We start from the raw sequence: 17,460 nt of genomic DNA, 5'->3' as shown, positions 1-17,460 counted from the left end.
CTCTTCTTGTTGAACTGATCCCTTTACCATTATGTAATGGCCTTCTTTGTCTCTTTTGATCTTTGTTGGTTTAAAGTCTGTTTTATCAGAGACTAGGATTGCAACCCCTGCCTTTTTTTGTTTTCCATTTGTTTGGTAGATCTTCCTCCATCCTTTTATTTTGAGCCTATGTGTGTCTCTGCACATGAGATGGGTTTCCTGAATACAGCACACTGATGAGTCTTGACTCTTTATCCAATTTGCCAGTCTGTGTCTTTTAATTGGAGCATTTAGTCCATTTACATTTAAAGTTAATATTGTTATGTGTGAATTTGATCCTGTCATTATGATGTTAGCTGGTTATTTTGCTTGTTAGTTGATGCAGTTTCTTCCTAGCCTCGATGGTCTTTACAATTTGGCATGATTTTGCAGTGGCTGGTACAGGTTGTTCCTTTCCATGTTTAGTGCTTCCTTCAGGAGCTCTTTTAGGGCAGGCCTGGTGGTGACAAAATCTCTCAGCATTTGCTTGTCTGTAAAGTATTTTATTTCTTCTTCACTTATGAAGCTTAGTTTGGCTGGATATGAAATTCTGGGTTGAAAATTCTTTTCTTTAAGAATGTTGAATATTGGCCCCCACTCTCTTCTGGCTTGTAGAGTTTCTGCCGAGAGATCCGCTGTTAGTCTGATGGGCTTCCCTTTGTGGGTAACCCGACCTTTCTCTCTGGCTGCCCTTAACATTTTTTCCTTCATTTCAACTTTGGTGAATCTGACAATTATGTGTCTTGGAGTTGCTCTTCTCGAGGAGTATCTTTGTGGCGTTCTCTGTATTTCCTGAATCTGAATGTTGGCCTGCCTTGCTAGATTGGGGAAGTTCTCCTGGATAATATCCTGCAGAGTGTTTTCCAACTTGGTTCCATTCTCCCCGTCACTTTCAGGTACACCAATCAGACGTAGATTTGGTCTTTTCACATAGTCCCATATTTCCTGGAGGCTTTGCTTGTTTCTTTTTATTCTTTTTTCTCTAAACTTCCCTTCTCACTTCATTTCATTCATTTCATCTTCCATCACTGATACCCTTTCTTCCAGCTGATCGCATCGGCTCCTGAGGCTTCTGCATTCTTCACATAGTTCTCGAGCCTTGGCTTTCAGCTCCATCAGCTCCTTTAAGCACTTCTCTGTATTGGTTATTCTAGTTATACATTCATCTAAATTTTTTTCAAAGTTTTTAACTTCTTTGCCTTTGGTTTGAATTTCCTCCTGTAGCTCAGAGTAGTTTGATCATCTGAAGCCTTCTCTCAACTCGTCAAAGTCATTCTCCATCCAGCTTTGTTCCGTTGCTGGTGAGGAACTGCGTTCCTTTGGAGGAGGAGAGGCGCTCTGCTTTTTAGAGTTTCCAGTTTTTCTGCTCTGTTTTTTCCCCATCTTTGTGGTTTTATCTACTTTTGGTCTCTGATGATGGTGATGTACAGATGGGTTTTTGGTGCGGATGTCTTTCTGTTTGTTAGTTTTCCTTCTAACAGACAGGACCCTCAGCTGCAGGTCTGTTGGAGTTTGCTAGCGGTCCACTCCAGACCCTGTTTGCCTGGGTATCAGCAGTGGTGGCTGCAGAACAGCAGATTTTCGTGAACCACGAATGCTGCTGTCTGATCATTTCTCTGGAAGTTTTGTCTCAGAGGAGTACCCGGCCGTGTGGGCTGTCAATCTGCCCCTACTGGGGGGTGCCTCCCAGGTAGGCTGCTCGGGGGTCAGGGGTCAGGGACCCACTTGAGGAGGCAGTCTGCCCATTCTCAGATCTCCAGAGGTGTGCTGGGAGAACCACTGCTCTCTTCAAAGCTGTCAGACAGGGATATTTAACACTGCAGAGGTTACTGCTGTCTTTTTGTTTGTCTGTGCCCTGCCCCCAGAGGTGGAGCCTACAGAGGCAGGCAGGCCTCCTTGAGCTGTGGTGGGCTCCACCCAGTTCGAGCCTCCTGGCTGCTTTGTTTACCTAAGCAAGCCTGGGCAATGGCAGGCGCCCCTCCCCCAGCCTGGCTGCCGCCTTGCAGTTTGATCTCAGACTGCTGTGCTAGCAATCAGCAAGACTCCGTGGGCGTAGGACCCTCTGAGCCAGGTGCGGGATATAATCTCCTGGTGCGCCGTTTTTTAAGCCTGTCGGAAAAGCGCAGTATTAGGGTGAGAGTGACCCGATTTTCCAGGTGCCATCTGTCACCCCTTTCTTTGACTAGGAAAGGGAACTCCCTGACCCCTTGCACTTCTCGAGTGAGGCAATGCCTCGCCCTGCTTCGGCTTGCGCACGGTGCACTGCACCCACTGTCCTGTGCCCACTGTCTGGCACTCCCTAGTGAGATGAACCCAGTACCTCAGATGGAAAATGCAGAAATCACCCGTCTTCTGCGTTGCTCATGCTGGGAGCTGTAGACCCGAGCTGTTCCTATTTGGCCATCTTGGCTGCCAGCTTTTTTTTTTTTTTTTTTTTTTTAAAGAGATGAGGTCTCATGTTTGCCCAGGCTGGTCTCCAGCTCCTGGCCTCAAGTGATCCTCCCGCCTCAGCCTCCCAAAGTGCTGGGATTATAGGTATGAGCCACCGTGCCTGGTCTACCCAGATAGAATATTATACAGTCATTAAAAATGGTATGCACATACATTTTTAAGAATGAAATATTTATTTTGTAATGTAGAAATTTTAAAGAAGCTACAAAATTATATATACAATGTGCTGCATTATAAGCCAAAATAAATAAACAAAAAGCCCAACAGAGAAAAAAGACCAAAAAGAAACACAACCCCACATTCTTACTCTTCTTTTATCCCCCTAAGCAGTTTTCCCTGTGGCTGTCCATCTTACCTGAGAAATGCAGATGCACTTCAGGCAAGCACACGCTGTCTTACAGACAAACAACAAGACCAAGGACCCGGATTTTCCTGCGACTCGCAAGTAAACACAAGTAGGAGCTCATGCCAACCCCATTCCTTCTTAATTTGGTTTAATTTGCTCCAAAGTTAAGTTTTGTTTTTTTATTTTTTGAGACAGGGTCTCACTCTGTTACCCAGGCTGGAGGTGCAGTGGTGCAATCTTGATTAACTGAAGCTTCCACCTCCTGGTTTCAAGTGATTCTCGTGCCTGAACCTCTCAAGTAGCTGGGACTACAGGTGTGCACCACCACACCCAGCTAATTTTTGTGTTTTTTTCTTTTTTAGTAGAGATGGGGTTTCACCATGTTGGCCAGGCTGGTCTCTAACTCCTGACCTCATGTGATCCATCCGCCTCGGCCTCCGAAAGTGCTGGGATTACAGGAGTGAGTCACCACGCCCAGCTGGAAGCCAAGTATTTTAACAACTGATTATGCAACTGGGGCCTACTCTTGGTGCAGCTGGAGCAGCTCTGTCTGAGAAGGCTCAGGGACAGTTACACAGGGTGTCAGAGCCAGAGAGAAGGAGCCTGCTGGCTTCTGAGTCCACGATAAGTCTGTGCTGCCTAGAAGGGCTTAGGGAGATAAATTCCTTTGCTCTTCCAAATGAGGGTGACACAGCTGATGTTCTGGTTCTACCCTGTGAATTATGTGTTTGTGAAGTACTTGGGAATAGACCCCATGAGTAAAATAAAGCAAAAGATAACAGGTGACCCTTTATAAAGAGGCCCACAGGCGAGGGGCCTAAGGTTGTCCTAGCCTGTATTGGACATTAAGGAGTCAGAGAACAAAGCTAAGGGGCTTTGATTTCTCCTCATGGAGAAACTGCAACGTTCAGCTGAGCTAAGGGAGAAAACATTCTTACTGCTTTGAGTTTCCCCTTGAGCACAAGCAGTGCTGTAGGTGCCACAGAGAGAATGAAGGATGTGGCCCTGCTCTCAAGAAGTTTAACTCTAGTCCACAAATTCAGTCTGCATATAAGTCACATACGCTGACAATCATATAGACTGTCACTGCTTGCAACCTGCTGTTGGGTGGGCTTTTGAGGTTACATTTGGATCCAATGGTAAAGGGTTCCATGAGTTGTCAGTGATTTCGGCCATGGGCAGGCCAGGGAGAGTGATGAGGCACATACAGCTCAGAGGATTGGCCACTCCGTACTCTAGATGAGGCAGACGCTGCTGTGCTGCCCTAAAACTTTCCCCAGTTATCTTCCTCCTTGCTGGCCTCCTTCTAGATAGAATGAAAGAGCCAGACCCTACCCTAGACTTTCCTACAACCAGAATTGACCATATGACCAAGTGGTAGCCTGTTGGGCGTGTGTGGGATAGGGGAGGGATAGGCCAGTATTTTTCTCCCTGATGAGCAAGAGGTGTGTGAGGAGAGACTCTCTGCCCAATGTCACCTTCTGATCCCTGCCTTCGAATACAGCTGTGAAGACATGATGTTTGGGGCAGCTATAGCTGTCCTGTCACCATGTGGAGCACATCCAGAGCTGCACTATCCAATACAGTAGCTGCAAGCCATGTATACCTTTGCATACTTGAAGCATGCCCAGAACTATAAGTGTTAAATGCACACCAAATTTCAAAAGCTTCATGCAAAAAAGGAAATGTAAAATATCATATTAGTAACTTTTTTTTTTTTTTTTTGAGACAGGGTCTCTGTCGCCCAGGCTGGAGTGCAGTGGTGTGATCTTGGCTTACTGCAACCTCCACCTTCTGGGCTCAAGTAATCCTCCCACCTCAGCCTCCCGAGTAGCTGGGATTACAGGCACATACCCACCCAGCTAATTTTTTAATTTTTTGTAGAGACACGGTTTTTGCCATGCTGCCCAGGCTGGTCTCGAACTCCTGGGCTCAAGCAATCTGCCCACCTTGGCTTCCCAAAGTGCTGGGATTACAGGTGTGAGCCACTGCATCCGGCCCCACATTAGTAACTTCAAATTTATCACGTTGACATGACAATATTTCAGATATAGTGGATTAAATAAAATGTATTAAAATTAATTTTAATCATTTATTTTTATTTTTACTTTTACTTTAAAAAATGAGGCAACCGAATATTTTAAATGACATATGTGGCTCACATTATGTTCCCATTGTCCACTGCTGACCTAAGGAATTGCAGGGAAGATGACCAGAGTTCTCATGTTGAACCACTGAACCAATTCTACCCCCAGATTTCCTATTAGATTATAAAGCCATTTTGGTCAAGGATTCTTTTTAAGCCTCACAATTAGCAAGTTAAAGGGAGGCAGGACAGATGGTGTGCCCACTTCACAGATAAACAAACAGAGGTCTGGAGACAAGGAGTGCTGCTTAAGGTCTCATGGTGAAGGAGAAGCAGAATAAGAATCAGAACTTAAATGTCCTTTATCTCGACATTGAATCTTTCCAGTGTATCGAGTGGCCTCTCGAACATGAGAGAAAAATAGCCTCTCACAAACAGAAAAATTACAGATGCTTGGGCACACCTATGTGTGTGGTTTGTCTGCTCTAGACAGCATGAGCTCTTGCTTCCAAGATATGCTGGGAGACAATTCTCCATAGTGTTTCTACATGTCTTATGACAGCTTTCGTTTCAGACCATCTTTTCAAGGATGTTTGTAAAGTATAGAGACATAAAGATAGTGTCTCTCTCCAGGGCAGAGACACTGGAGAGAATGTTTATCTGTTTGCTGACAAGAATAAAAAGGATAATGTCTCCTTTGGTGGCAAAGTTTAGACAGGTTTGCTCGCAGTTTCTTTACAAGGTTGGGAGTTTTCTATGCTCGGGATCATTTAGTTGTATCACAGACTATTATGTGCCAGTATCCACCTGGGCCCACTTTGCATCACCCTGTGGAATTTGGGGGCCAAGGGAAAATGAGGCAAGCATGAAGCTCATGCTTCCTGATGAACCATGAGTTCATCATGGTTCATCATAATAAAGCCCTTTGTCTCTGATCCAGGAGTCCCGTGTCTTCTGCCTGCCGCTACAAAATGGTGGCAGGCTCACTTGTTAGCTTGCAAGTCAGGTAAATCTCAGACCCTTCACAGTTCCTTACAAGATGCACCCACCCCTGCTGCTGGGCTGCCAGACCCTTCTGTAAATAGGTGCAGTGGTGTGGCGGATGCTATGGTGTGCCATCCAGATTCACCTCGGGAATGAAGAACTTATTCTCCCAACTGATGGGAGTGCTGTTGGCAGAGAGCCCTCAGCTGACAGCCCACTTTGGAGACTGCTTTAGCTATAAAGAGCTGCCTCACCCCATCCTGGGGTGGCCCACATGTGATGACTGATTGACATGGGGTATAAAGGCCCAGCCCCTTAGACCAACTGGGTAAAACTCTAAAGGTCATCTCAGCTTCGGAGCTTTCTGTAGGAATAGCTTAGGCTCCAGAAATTGCATTGCTGCTCACCTTCTCCCTCTGTCCAATCCTGTCTACTCCCTTTCCTTTCTGCAGTTGTGGATTCCAAGAGCAACTCCCCCGACTCCCATAAACCTCATATATCTTAGTTGACATCTCAGACTCTGCTTTCTGAGGGACCCAACCTGCAACAAGTGAGGTCTGCCTTCACAGGGATTTCCTGGCCTGGGTGACTGCACAGCTATCTTGGGTCTAGACTTGAGATTTCAGTGCTAGAAACCCAGCATGTCTTGAATTTCAGTGATGGATCCTTTCAGTAGCTTTTATAGCCCAGTGACATGGAAGGGCCCACCGTGAGGCATAAGAAGCAATACAAATATGCCCAGCAATCCATCTGACCCTGGCTGTAAAATCAGCAGTATCTGTGACTTGCAGCTGACAACATGGCCCTTTAGCTCCATTTTCTTGATAATTTCAATAAAGCAGAATTTCTCCTTTAGTTGAGCACATCACGTTCAATGTAGGTGACCTTTTGGTGGGGGAAAAAACCCTAGCGGGCTTTCATAATGCAAATGCTACAAACAAATTCCGATGGTCTCTCACCTGAGAAGCTCCCGGGCTTGGGGTAGCAGCTAGTCTGGGATTTGGAGCTAACTTCACAACCTCTGAAAAGGGCACATCTGTTCCACCTGCAAGACCTAGAAGGGAAAGGTCACTTCACATTAGTGCATGTTGCAAGTGAAGACGTTAACCAAAAACACCACGAAGGATCTCACTGGGGTGGCAAACTGTTCTAAAACTGGATTATAGTGATGGTTGCACAATTCAGTACATTTATGAAAAATCAATGAATTGGACACTTAAAATGGATGATTTTTATGTCATATAGATTGTACCTCAATAAAATTACAAAACAAAACAAAAAAATGGCAAGTGCAGGCTTGTCTCCAGCAGGACCCAGCTTGTCTTTCTCTTTGTGGTTGTGCCTTTCATGGAATAGGTCGGGTAACCTCGACATATGATGGGGAAGGGTCTGCCTGCCCCTCCTCTCTCCCCTCGTTCACCACATTCTGGACAGCCTGGTCTTCTCTCCACTCATTCTGCCTCAGAGCCTTTTCACTGTATGGAATGTTCTTTCCACTCTTCACATGCCTGTTCCCTTCTCCTCAGCTAAGATGCACCTAAGACCATCACTTGCTCAGGAGGCCCTCCTTAGCGCTCAGCACCATCTGCTTTTCCTCAGAGCACTTTTCCCAACTTGTGCCCATATATTTCAGTGATTATTGGTTTAAGATCCCTCTTTTGCTGAGCTGTAAAGTCCACGAGGCCAGATACTGTGTCTCTCCGGGTCACCACTATAACCATGGTGCCTAGCACACCATCTGGCATACAGGGGGCACTCAATAATTACTCACCAAGCAAATGAGTAGCAGGGGGAAGGTTGCCATTGGTGGGCAAGAAACAATGAGCAATTTCTAGGGAAGGTAGGTAGTAGCGTCAGATATACAAACACCACCACCACCAGGAGTGAAGAAGGGCCCTCTGAAGATGTGAGGACCAGTTTTCCTAACCAAATGCTAGAAAATCCCAGCTCAGAGCAGAATGGATGAGGGACTGGAATGGTGGTGGGGTGGACAGCAGAGAAACTAATCAAAAGACTCTGGTTCCATCTCCACTCATACTCGCAGACTGGCTACACAAGACAGTCATCCCCAGACCCAGATGGGGAGAAGATATCTCCAAATGAAGTGGTTAGTATCCCTCTGGGTAGGGACTGGTGAGCTAAGATTTGGCTCGGGCTTTGGTTTTGGAGGGCAGAGCAGGGCAGTGGCCCAGGTACCCTTTGGCAAGCACAGAAAGGGAAAAAGAATAAAACAAAACACAGTGCAGGATGGCAGTGAAGTCCCTAAAGGGAAACTCCTTTCCCACTTCCACAAAAGAATTATGAAGCAGACCCCATACTTCTCATCAGCAACCCTGAAGGCCAGAAGATTATGGAAGAGTATCTTCACAGTTCTCAGGAAAAGTATTTTGAACATAGAGTCTTTTACCCAGCCAGTATTTGGGAGGATGAAACAAAGGCCTTGTTGGACATGTCAGGCCTCAAAACCATCACCTATTGAATTCTCTCTTAAAATATTTATTTAGGTTGTATATTCCAACAAAACTACCATACAGCCTGGGTGCGGTAATCCTAGCACTAGGATTCATGCCTGTAATCCTAGTACTTTGGGAGGGTGAAGTGGGTGGGATCACTTGAGCCCAGGAGTTCGAGTTCAGCCTGGGCAACATGGCGAAACCCTATATCTACAAAAATTAGCCAGGTGTGGTGGTGTGTGCCTGTAGTCCCAGCTATCCGGGAGGCTGAGGTGGGGGTGGGAAGATCACCTGAGTCTAGGAGGTCGAGGCTGCAGTGAGCCATGACTACGCCACTGCACTCCAGGCTGGACAACAGAGACCTTGTCTTAAACAAAACAAAACAAAACCTCAGCATAGAAATAAAGGAGAAAGAAGAAGAAGTTTGTTTTTTTTTGTTTTTTGTTTTGAGATGGAGTCTTGCTCTGTTGCCAGGCTGGAGTGCAGTGGTGCGATCTCGGCTCACTGCAACAGCTCACTGCAACCTCCGCCTCCCAAGTTCAAGCTATTCCCCTGCCTCAGCCTCCCGAGTAGCTGGGACTACAGGCGTGCGCCACCATGCCCAGCTATTTTCTTTTTTTTTTTGTATTTTAGTAGAGACGGGGTTTCACCCTCTAGGCCAGGATGATCTCGATCTCCTGACCTCATAATCCGCCTACCTTGGCCTCCCAAAGTGCTGGGATTACAGGCGTGAGCTACTGCACCCAACCGAAATGTCAGGAAGTTAAAAAAAAAAAAAAGACAAAGTAACAAACAGAGGAAGGAAGGAAGGAAGGCAGGCAGGCAGGCAGGCAGGCAGGCAGGCAGGCAGACTCATAGGTAAGTGTGAATAAAAGCCAATATAATATTAAATGTACTTAATATAAGAATCTGGAAATAAATTCCCAAGTGATCTTGATATAGGATATGGCATGAGGCAGGGTGAGGTAGATGGGGTGGGGAGAGAATAAATGAGTAAGAGGTTAATTATTTTTTTTTGTTTTTTGAGATGGAATCTCACTTTGTCACCCAGGCTGGAGTGCAATGGCGCAATCTCGGCTCACTGCAACCTCTGCCTCCCGGGTTCAAGCGATTCTCCTGCCTCAGCCTCCCGAGTAGCTGGGACTACAGGTGTGTGCCACTATGCCCAGCTAATTTTTGTATTTTTAGTAGAGATGGGGTTTCACCATATTGTCCAGGCTGGTCTCGAACTCCTGACCTTGTGATCCACCCGCCTCGGCCTCCCAAAATGCTGGAATTACAGGCATGAGCCACCACACCCGGCCAAGGTTAATTATTGAGAGAAGGATATGTTGCCTGATTAATTCTCAACGTTGATAGAAAAACATAAGCTTAGGCCGGGTGCGGTGGCTCACGCCTGTAATCCCAGTACTTTGGGAGGCCAAGGTGGGCAGATCACAAAGTCAGGAGATCGAGACCATCCTGGCTAACACAGTGAAACCCCTCCTCTACTAAAAATACAAAAAATTAGCTGGGCATGGTGGCAGGCACCTGTAGTCCCACCTACTCGGGAGGCTGAGGCAGGAGAATGGTGTGAACCCGGGAGGCAGAGCTTGCATTGAACCAAGATTGCACCACTGCACTCCAACCTGGTGACAGAGCAAGACTCCGTCTCAAAAAAAAAAAAAAGAAAAGAAAAATATAAGCTGAAATAGGTATGTTAAATGTTAAGAATATGAAAAGAATAGAACCACCTGGGCTGCTACAGGAGCTCCCTGAGCAAGCAGGAGACAGAGCAAATTGATCCAACTTGAAGGACTGCCCTTGCAGGTAGGTGCTGCTCCTGCCAGAACTCGCCTAGATCGGGGAGCTTCCCTTAATACCCAGAGTTTTAGCGAGGCCTCCAACAGGGCAACAGGGCTCCATGGTGCTGTCCAGGGTCCTGGACTGCTTGGGCCTGAAGCCTTCCCCTTTGTTTCAACTTCTGTTCTTGCTGAAAAGACGGCTCTGGACTTTGTCCACCTCTCCTGCCCTCTAGCTGTCCAGACTCATGCCCACGTGCTCTCAACCATGCCCTGTGTTCTTTTCCCATGTCCCTGTGCTGACCTTAACTCTGACCAGACCTCATTCAGTTAGGACCCAGCCTCTTTTTCTCCACTTTAAGCAAAGAATAAAGGAACAGAGAGTATGGGTTGGTTCTCACCTGCTGGGAGCTAGAAAAATGAAGCTGAAGTCCCCAAGACTCCAATGTCCCCAAAGACTGGGTACACCTCACTCTCCCCTTTCCACCCTCCTCAGCCCACCCCATGTCCTGGCCACTTCCAGAGATAGCTGTCTCCCTCCATCAACCTACCATGAAAAGCTCGGTATGCAGAACCCACACAGGCCGAGTTGGCAGTGTCTATAACATACACCGGGGCATCAAACACATCTGCAAGCACCTGAAAAGGACACAGAGGTTCTACTGTGGTGAGCCATTCCTCAGAGGGAACACAGACATTGTGGGATGCACTTTCCAGGCTCTCTCCCTCATATGTCTTCTGACCCCTTCCATTCCACCTCGACTGCCTTAAGAGGAGTATGCTTGGTCATGCTACCCTGGTGATAATAGAGTCAGGATGAGCTGGGGGAAGTCCGTAGTGGAGAGCCACAGCTCCCCAGGCTGTCCCTGTACTTTTTAGCCATTTCACCAAAGACAAGGCAGAAGATTTAGGAAGTATGTTTAGCAAATGGCACTGACCTAGGGCTGGAGACAGCTGGGTATTAGACTAACATTAACAAGCCCAAACAAACCCAAGCTAACAAGAGCATGTTTCATGGGCATAATGGTGAAGTTTCCCATTTAGGTTCACAAATAAATTGCATACATTTCAAATGGAGGACCTGTACTAAGAGGAGTTCACATGGAAAGAACTTGGGGGAGGTCTTAGTTGACCAGAGATATTGTAGTAGATGCCACTGATGCCGACCCAGATCCCCCTCACTGGACCATTGTGCATCCTGCCCCAGCTGCTGTGAGTACTGGCTACTAATGGCTTGCAGCACTACCTCCTCAAGAAAGCTGACCTTGGCTGAGCATAGGCCACCGCTCACAGGAGATTTAACCTCCCCAGGGTGGCCTGTTGGCCCCCTTGTCCCAAGGTAAAATCAGCTCTGTGGTATAATTCATGTTCCAGAGCCCCACCTCCCCACCAGGATGGAGCTGAAGTAGACTCCAGACAAGACCATATCCTCACTTATCCTTCTTCCTCTGCACTGCCCTGAGTCCCTCACTTCCTTCTTCCTGGGAGTACTCTCTCAACAAACTGCTTATAGAAGAATTCCCATTTCAGGCTCTGTTTCTAGAAAAATCTTACCTAAGATAGGTAGTCACAAGCAAACAGCTAATACAGTTACTCTAACAGTTAAGGCAGCCCCAGGCTACACCCAAAAATGCACAATGTCTCCATAACAGGCTCTGACAGCCCCACAGGTGACAGTCTGAGTGTCAGACATCTGCAGGTTGATTCTACTTTTGGTCATATGTTTCTGGCATAATGAAGGACCAGAAGGACAGTAACAGTCTGGCAACTGTGTTATAAGAGGACTGGTTGGAGAATCAGCGATGGTTACATTGGAAGGCAGAGGCCTTGAGGAAGACAAGAACACTGGCACTAGATGTGAGAAGGTTTGCCATGTGGAAGAACAGGCACTTTCCATGTGACTCCAGAGGACAGTGCTGGTATCAGAGAGTGGATTGTACACAGCCATAGAATTCACCTGCATGTGAGACAGATCCCACTCACAGTGTGAGCTGTAAGGCAACAGAGCTGCTTCCTGGAGTGTGAGCTAAGAGCTCCCCATTCCTGCAGGAGTGGGAATGGAGGCTGTCCTTCCTATCCAGTCTCTGGCTCTTAGACATAACAGATATGGGAGAGGCCATGGTGTAAGGCCCACTACTAACGCTTACCTGTAAGATTTCTCTATTGTGAGATGCTCCTCCTGTGGCCAAAATCTTTGTCTTGGACACTGCAAGGGAAAAGAAAAAAGTAAAATAGCTATGCCAGTTCTCCCAAGGCAGAAAGGGCTGTTTTTGCAGAGTTCTTCAGCTACAGAGGGCTCATGATGGGCCAATGCCTCCCACTTATCACACAGGACTACGGGAGAGATCCAAAGCTGGCTCTGTGTGTGCAGGCCTGTCACATTCATTTGCTTGTAAGGTTGCTGCCCCACCCACCTTAACTGTCTTTAATACTTTTTTTGTTTTAAATATCTCAACAAAACAGGAGAAGGGAACTTCCTTAAATGATAAAAGTCATATATCCACAACTTATAACAAATGTCATTCTTAACAGAGATTTAGAAGCACTTTCTTTCAGACTGGTGTGTCAGCCAGATTCCAAAATGGCCTCCACATAATCCCTCCCTCCTGATATTCACACCTTCAAGTAGTCCCCCCTCACATTCAATAGGGCCGACTTGTATACCCAATAGAACCTTGTGTAAATGATGAAGTATGAAGTCCAAGACTAGATGATAAAAGACATTGAGGCTTCCATCTCGCTCTGACACAGATCATGCTCTCTTGGATCACTCACTTTGGGGAAAGCTAAGTGCCACATCCTGAAGACACTCAAGCAGCCCTAGGGAGAGGTCTACATGGCAGGAGACTGAGGCCTCTTGCCAACAGCCACATGAGTGAGCCAGCCTGGAGGCAGATCCTCCAGCGTCAGTCAAGCCTTCAGATGACTGCAGCCCCAGATGACATTGTGACTGCAACCTCAGGAGATATCCTCAATCAGAATCACCCAACCATGCTGAAACCAAATTCTTGACCCAAAGAAACTGTATAAGAGAATAAACATTTATTACTGTTTTAAGCTGCTAAATTTTGAGATAATTTGTTACATGGCAATAGATAACTAATACAACTACAAACAAAACAAAGATTCACAGTATCCAGTCCACTGTTTAACACAGTATTAGATCTACCAGTCAATGCCATAAGATAACAAAAACAACTAAAATATATAAGTATTGAAATAAAGGAAAAGAAAACTGTCATTTGCAGACAATAGTCCATCTATTTGGAAAAAATAAAGAATAAACAAACTAATAAAACTAACAAGAGTTTAATAAGTTTGCCAGATACAAAATCAACTTATAATAATCAATGGCATTTCTAATAATAATCAACTATCAAATACAATAGAAAATATATAAATTAACTTTCACAACAGCAACCAGAAATGTAAGGTAGACTTACATGTAAGGGAATACCTTAACAAAGAATTCAAAAGTCTCTATTAAGAAAAAGTTGAAATTGTTGTTAAAGTACAAAAAAGAATATCTAAATAAATTAAAAGATATTCCATGGTCTTGAATGAATATGAATTAACATTATAAATATGTCAATCTTTTCCAATTAATGTATACATCCTATTCAACCTAAATAAAAATTCCAGCTGGACTCTTTTAAGGAACTAGACCAATTTCTTATAAAATATTTGTGGAAAAATGAAGACCTATAAACAGCTCAGACAATATTTTAAAAAGAAAAGCAAGGAGGGGATAATTGCTATACTACATATTAAAACATTATTATGGGCTGAAGTGTGTCTACCCTAAATTTATATGTGGAAGTCCTAAACCCCAGTTTCTCAGAATGTGAGTGTATTTGAAGATAAAGACAGATATTACCTCTTTAAAGAGGTAATTAAGTTAAAAATAAAGTCATTAGGGGTGGGCCCTAATCCAGTATGACTGATGTCCTTATGAGAAGAGAAAATGAAGACACAGGGACACACAGGAGGAGACCATGTGGAGACACAGGAAGAAGGTGACCATCTACAAGCTAAGGAAAGAGGCCTAAGAAGAAATTAACCCTGCCGACACCTTGATCGCAGACTTTTAGCCTCCAGAACTGTGAGAAAATAAATTTCTGTTGCTTAAGCCACCCATTCTGTGGCACATTCTTATGGCAGCCCTAGCCAACTAATACTGACATACTACAAAGCCACAATAATACAACAGTTTTTCTGCCCCAAGAACAAGACCAATAAACCCATGAAGTAGAAACAGGAGTGCAGGTCAGGTGCCATGGTTCATGCCTGTAATCCCAGCACTTTGGGAGGCCAAGGCAGGTAGATTGCTTGAGCCCAGGACTTTGAGACCAGCCTGGGAAAAATGGCAAGACCCTGTTTCTATAAAAACTATTTAAAAATTAGCCAGGCATGGTAGCACGTTGTCTGTAGTCCTAGCTACTCGGGATGCTGAGGTGGGAGGAACCCAGGAGGTGGAGGTTGCAGTGAGCTGAGATCGCGCCGCTGCACTCCAGCCTGTGCGGCAAAGTGAGACCCTGTCTCCAAAAAAAGGAAAAAAAAAATGAAAGGGAGTACAGAGAAAGACCCATGTATATATAGGGACTGGATAAATGATAAAGGGGGCACTACAAGTAATGGGGTAAAACAGACCACTTAGTAAATAGTGTTTGGAAAACTGGATCAACATGTGGAAAAAATCAAATTGGATCCCAAGTTACATCATTCGCAAAGACTTCAGATGGATCAAAGTCCTAAATGTGGAAGGTAAAATTGTAACATCAACAGGAGAAACATAAAACAGTACTTCTGTGATACTGGAGTGGGGGGAAATCTCTTAAACAATATCTCAAAAGCATAAAATGGAAGATGAAAAATTGATGAATTTCATCAAAATTCTGTTAAATTGCTGACACTATAAATAAGCAACAGATAAATGAGAGATATCTGCAACACAAAAAACTGTCAAAAACCTAATATTCAAAGTATACAATAAAATCCTACAAATCAATAAGAGAAAGATAGGAAATCAAATAGAAAAATGGGAAAGAATGTACATAGCCAATTCAGAGAAAGAAACCAGAGTTACAAAGAGCTGTTCAAAATCATTATTAATTGGCCAGGCACGGTGGCTCACGCCTGTAATCCCAGCACTTTGGGAGACCGAGACGGGTGTATCACCTGAGGTCAGGAGTTTGAGATCAGCCTGGCCAACATGGTGAAATCCCATCTCTACTAAAAATACAAAATTAGCTGGGCATGGTGGTGTGCGCCTGTAATCCCAGTTATTCAGGAGGCTGAGGCAGGAGAATCACTTGAACCGGGAGGTGGAGGTTGCAGTGAGCCGAGATCGCGCCATTGCACTCCAGCCTGGGCAAAAAGAGCGAAACTCCATCTCAAAACAAAACAAAACAAAATCATCGTTAATTAAGAAAACACAAATTAAACTAACACTGAGATACCAGTTTGCACCCATCAGACTGGCAACAGATTTAAAGGTTGTTGCTGTTAAGTGTTGGTGGGGATATGGGAAAATAAGAACCCTCATAAACTGCTGCTGAGAGTACACAACTGACTTCATGACAGCAGGGGTCTCAAGACCCTTCCCTCCACTCCCTTACACTCAGCAGCAGAAGCAGCAGCAGTGTTTGTCCCCAAGCTAAAGTAAAGAAGTGCTCATTAGTGAAAGTGGGCTACTAGCTGGGGAGGGTGCATGGGGGGACTGAGTGAAGAGGAACTTGAAATGACACTGAGCTCCCACAGCAGGCATGGAGACAAACATGGAAAGTAGCTCTACTCATCACAGAAAAAAGCTTGATTCCTCTTCCAACCAGAATAAAACCCTGCTTATTTTGGGTTGGATAATTCTTTTTGTGAGGGATCGTCCCGTATATTGTAGAATGTTTAGCAGAATCCCCAGAATGCTATGTCCTCACATGGCTGAAAAGCAGAAAATGGTGAACTCACTCCTGAAAGCACTTTTATAGTGGCATTAATACACAAGAGCCCTCATGACCTAAACACCTTCCATCAGGCCCATCTCCCAACACTGTCACATTGGGGATTAAGTTTTTAACATGTGAATTTGGGGAGACACAGTCAGGTCATAGCAAATGGATAAATGGTTGTATAATCATGTGATGGAATATCACAGTACAATGAAAATTAACAGCTAATAGCTATCTATGCACATTAACATGGATGAATTCATAAACATGACGTTGATCTAAAGCAGCAAATCACACCGCATGTAGTATAATTCCATGTATCATGAAGTTCAGAAAGGGCAAAAAGCCACAATGTATTTAAAGGAATGCATACACAGCTGGCAAAACCATAAAGAATTCCAGGGAAATTATAATACAAAAATCTGGATAGAAATGATCTCTGCAGGGATGAGGGGAAGATGAGGATACAGTGGAAGAGGAGCACAGCAAGACTCCAAGGTTCTAGTGTTCTATTTCTTCTTTTTTTTTGTTGTTGTTGTTGTTGTTGTTTTTGAGATGAAGTCTCGCTCTGTCTCCCAGGCTGGAGTGCAATGGGGTGATCTTGGCTCACTGCAACCTCCGCCTCCTGGGTTCAAGTGATTCTCCCGCCTCAGCCTCCTGAGTAGGCTATAAGCGTCCGCCACCATGCCTGGCTAATTTTGTGTTTTCAGTAGAGACGGGGTTTCACCATGTTGGCCAAGCTGGTCTTGAACTCCTGACCTCAAGCGATCCGCCTGTATCGGCCTCCCAAAGTGCTGGGATTACAGGTGTAAGTGACTGTGCCTGGCTGATGTTCTATTTCTTAACCCGAGTGCTGATCATCAGATGTTTGATTAATATGTTTTATAACTTGCTGTAAGATACATATACTCTACTGTATACATGATATTTTTCACAATAAACTGACTGAGCATAGTGGCTTATGCCTACTAATCCTAGCACTTCAGTAGGCCAAGGCAGGAGGAGGATTGCTTGAGCTCAGGAATTTGAGACCAACCTGGACAACAAAGATTCTGTCCCTACAAAAAATACAAAAATTAGCTGGAAACGGTGATGCATGCCTGTGGTCCCAGCTACTCGGGAGGTTGAAGTGGGAGGATTGCTTGAGCCCAGGAATTCAAGGCTGCAATGAGCCGTGATCACACCACTGTACTCCAGCCTGGGTGTATTCCTGCCTGACAAAGCCAGACTTTGTCTCCAAAAAAATATAATAGGCTGGGCACAGTGGCTCATACCTGTAATCCCAACAGTTTGGGAGGCCGAGGCAGGAAGACCACCTGAGGTCAGGAGTTCGAGACCAGCCTGGCCAATATGGTGAAACCCCGTCTCTACTAAAAATACAAAACTTAGCCAGGTG

The 17,460-nt window shown here is 45.1% G+C and overlaps 1 protein-coding gene across 17 annotated transcripts in view, besides 1 other annotated feature; it reads right to left on the bottom strand.

Moving 5' to 3' along the window:
- XYLB (xylulokinase) overlaps window positions 1-17,460 on the bottom strand; it is a 106,257-nt gene that overhangs the window by 45,212 nt on the left and 43,585 nt on the right. For 15 of the 17 annotated variants that reach the window (NR_146068.2, XM_011534327.3, XM_011534329.3 and 12 more), the window contains 3 exons: window positions 12,267-12,325; window positions 10,671-10,758; window positions 6,845-6,939 (listed from right to left, as the gene is read on the bottom strand). Coding sequence is in view for 15 of the 17 variants with exons in the window: in XM_011534327.3 (XP_011532629.1) it covers window positions 6,845-6,939; window positions 10,671-10,758; window positions 12,267-12,325 (242 nt within the window). In the remaining 2 variants the exon portion in view is untranslated. Of the gene's footprint in view, window positions 1-6,844; window positions 6,940-10,670; window positions 10,759-12,266; window positions 12,326-17,460 lie in introns of those variants that run through there. The other 2 variants (XM_047449384.1, XR_001740394.3) reach the window with 2 other exon arrangements.
- Window positions 1,536-2,036: an enhancer, noted in NCBI's record as "H3K4me1 hESC enhancer chr3:38447285-38447785 (GRCh37/hg19 assembly coordinates)". NCBI's record gives its function as "activates a minimal SCP1, AML or CMV promoter by ChIP-STARR-seq in naive H9 embryonic stem cells {active_cell/tissue: H9 hESC(naive)}" and the evidence as "EXISTENCE:reporter gene assay evidence [ECO:0000049][PMID:30033119]".

The sequence above is a fragment of the Homo sapiens genome, chromosome 3 (assembly GCF_000001405.40).
Source record: "Homo sapiens chromosome 3, GRCh38.p14 Primary Assembly".
In the NCBI taxonomy this organism is placed as follows: domain Eukaryota; kingdom Metazoa; phylum Chordata; class Mammalia; order Primates; family Hominidae; genus Homo; species Homo sapiens.
This window is presented reverse-complemented; position numbering and strand designations above follow the sequence as displayed.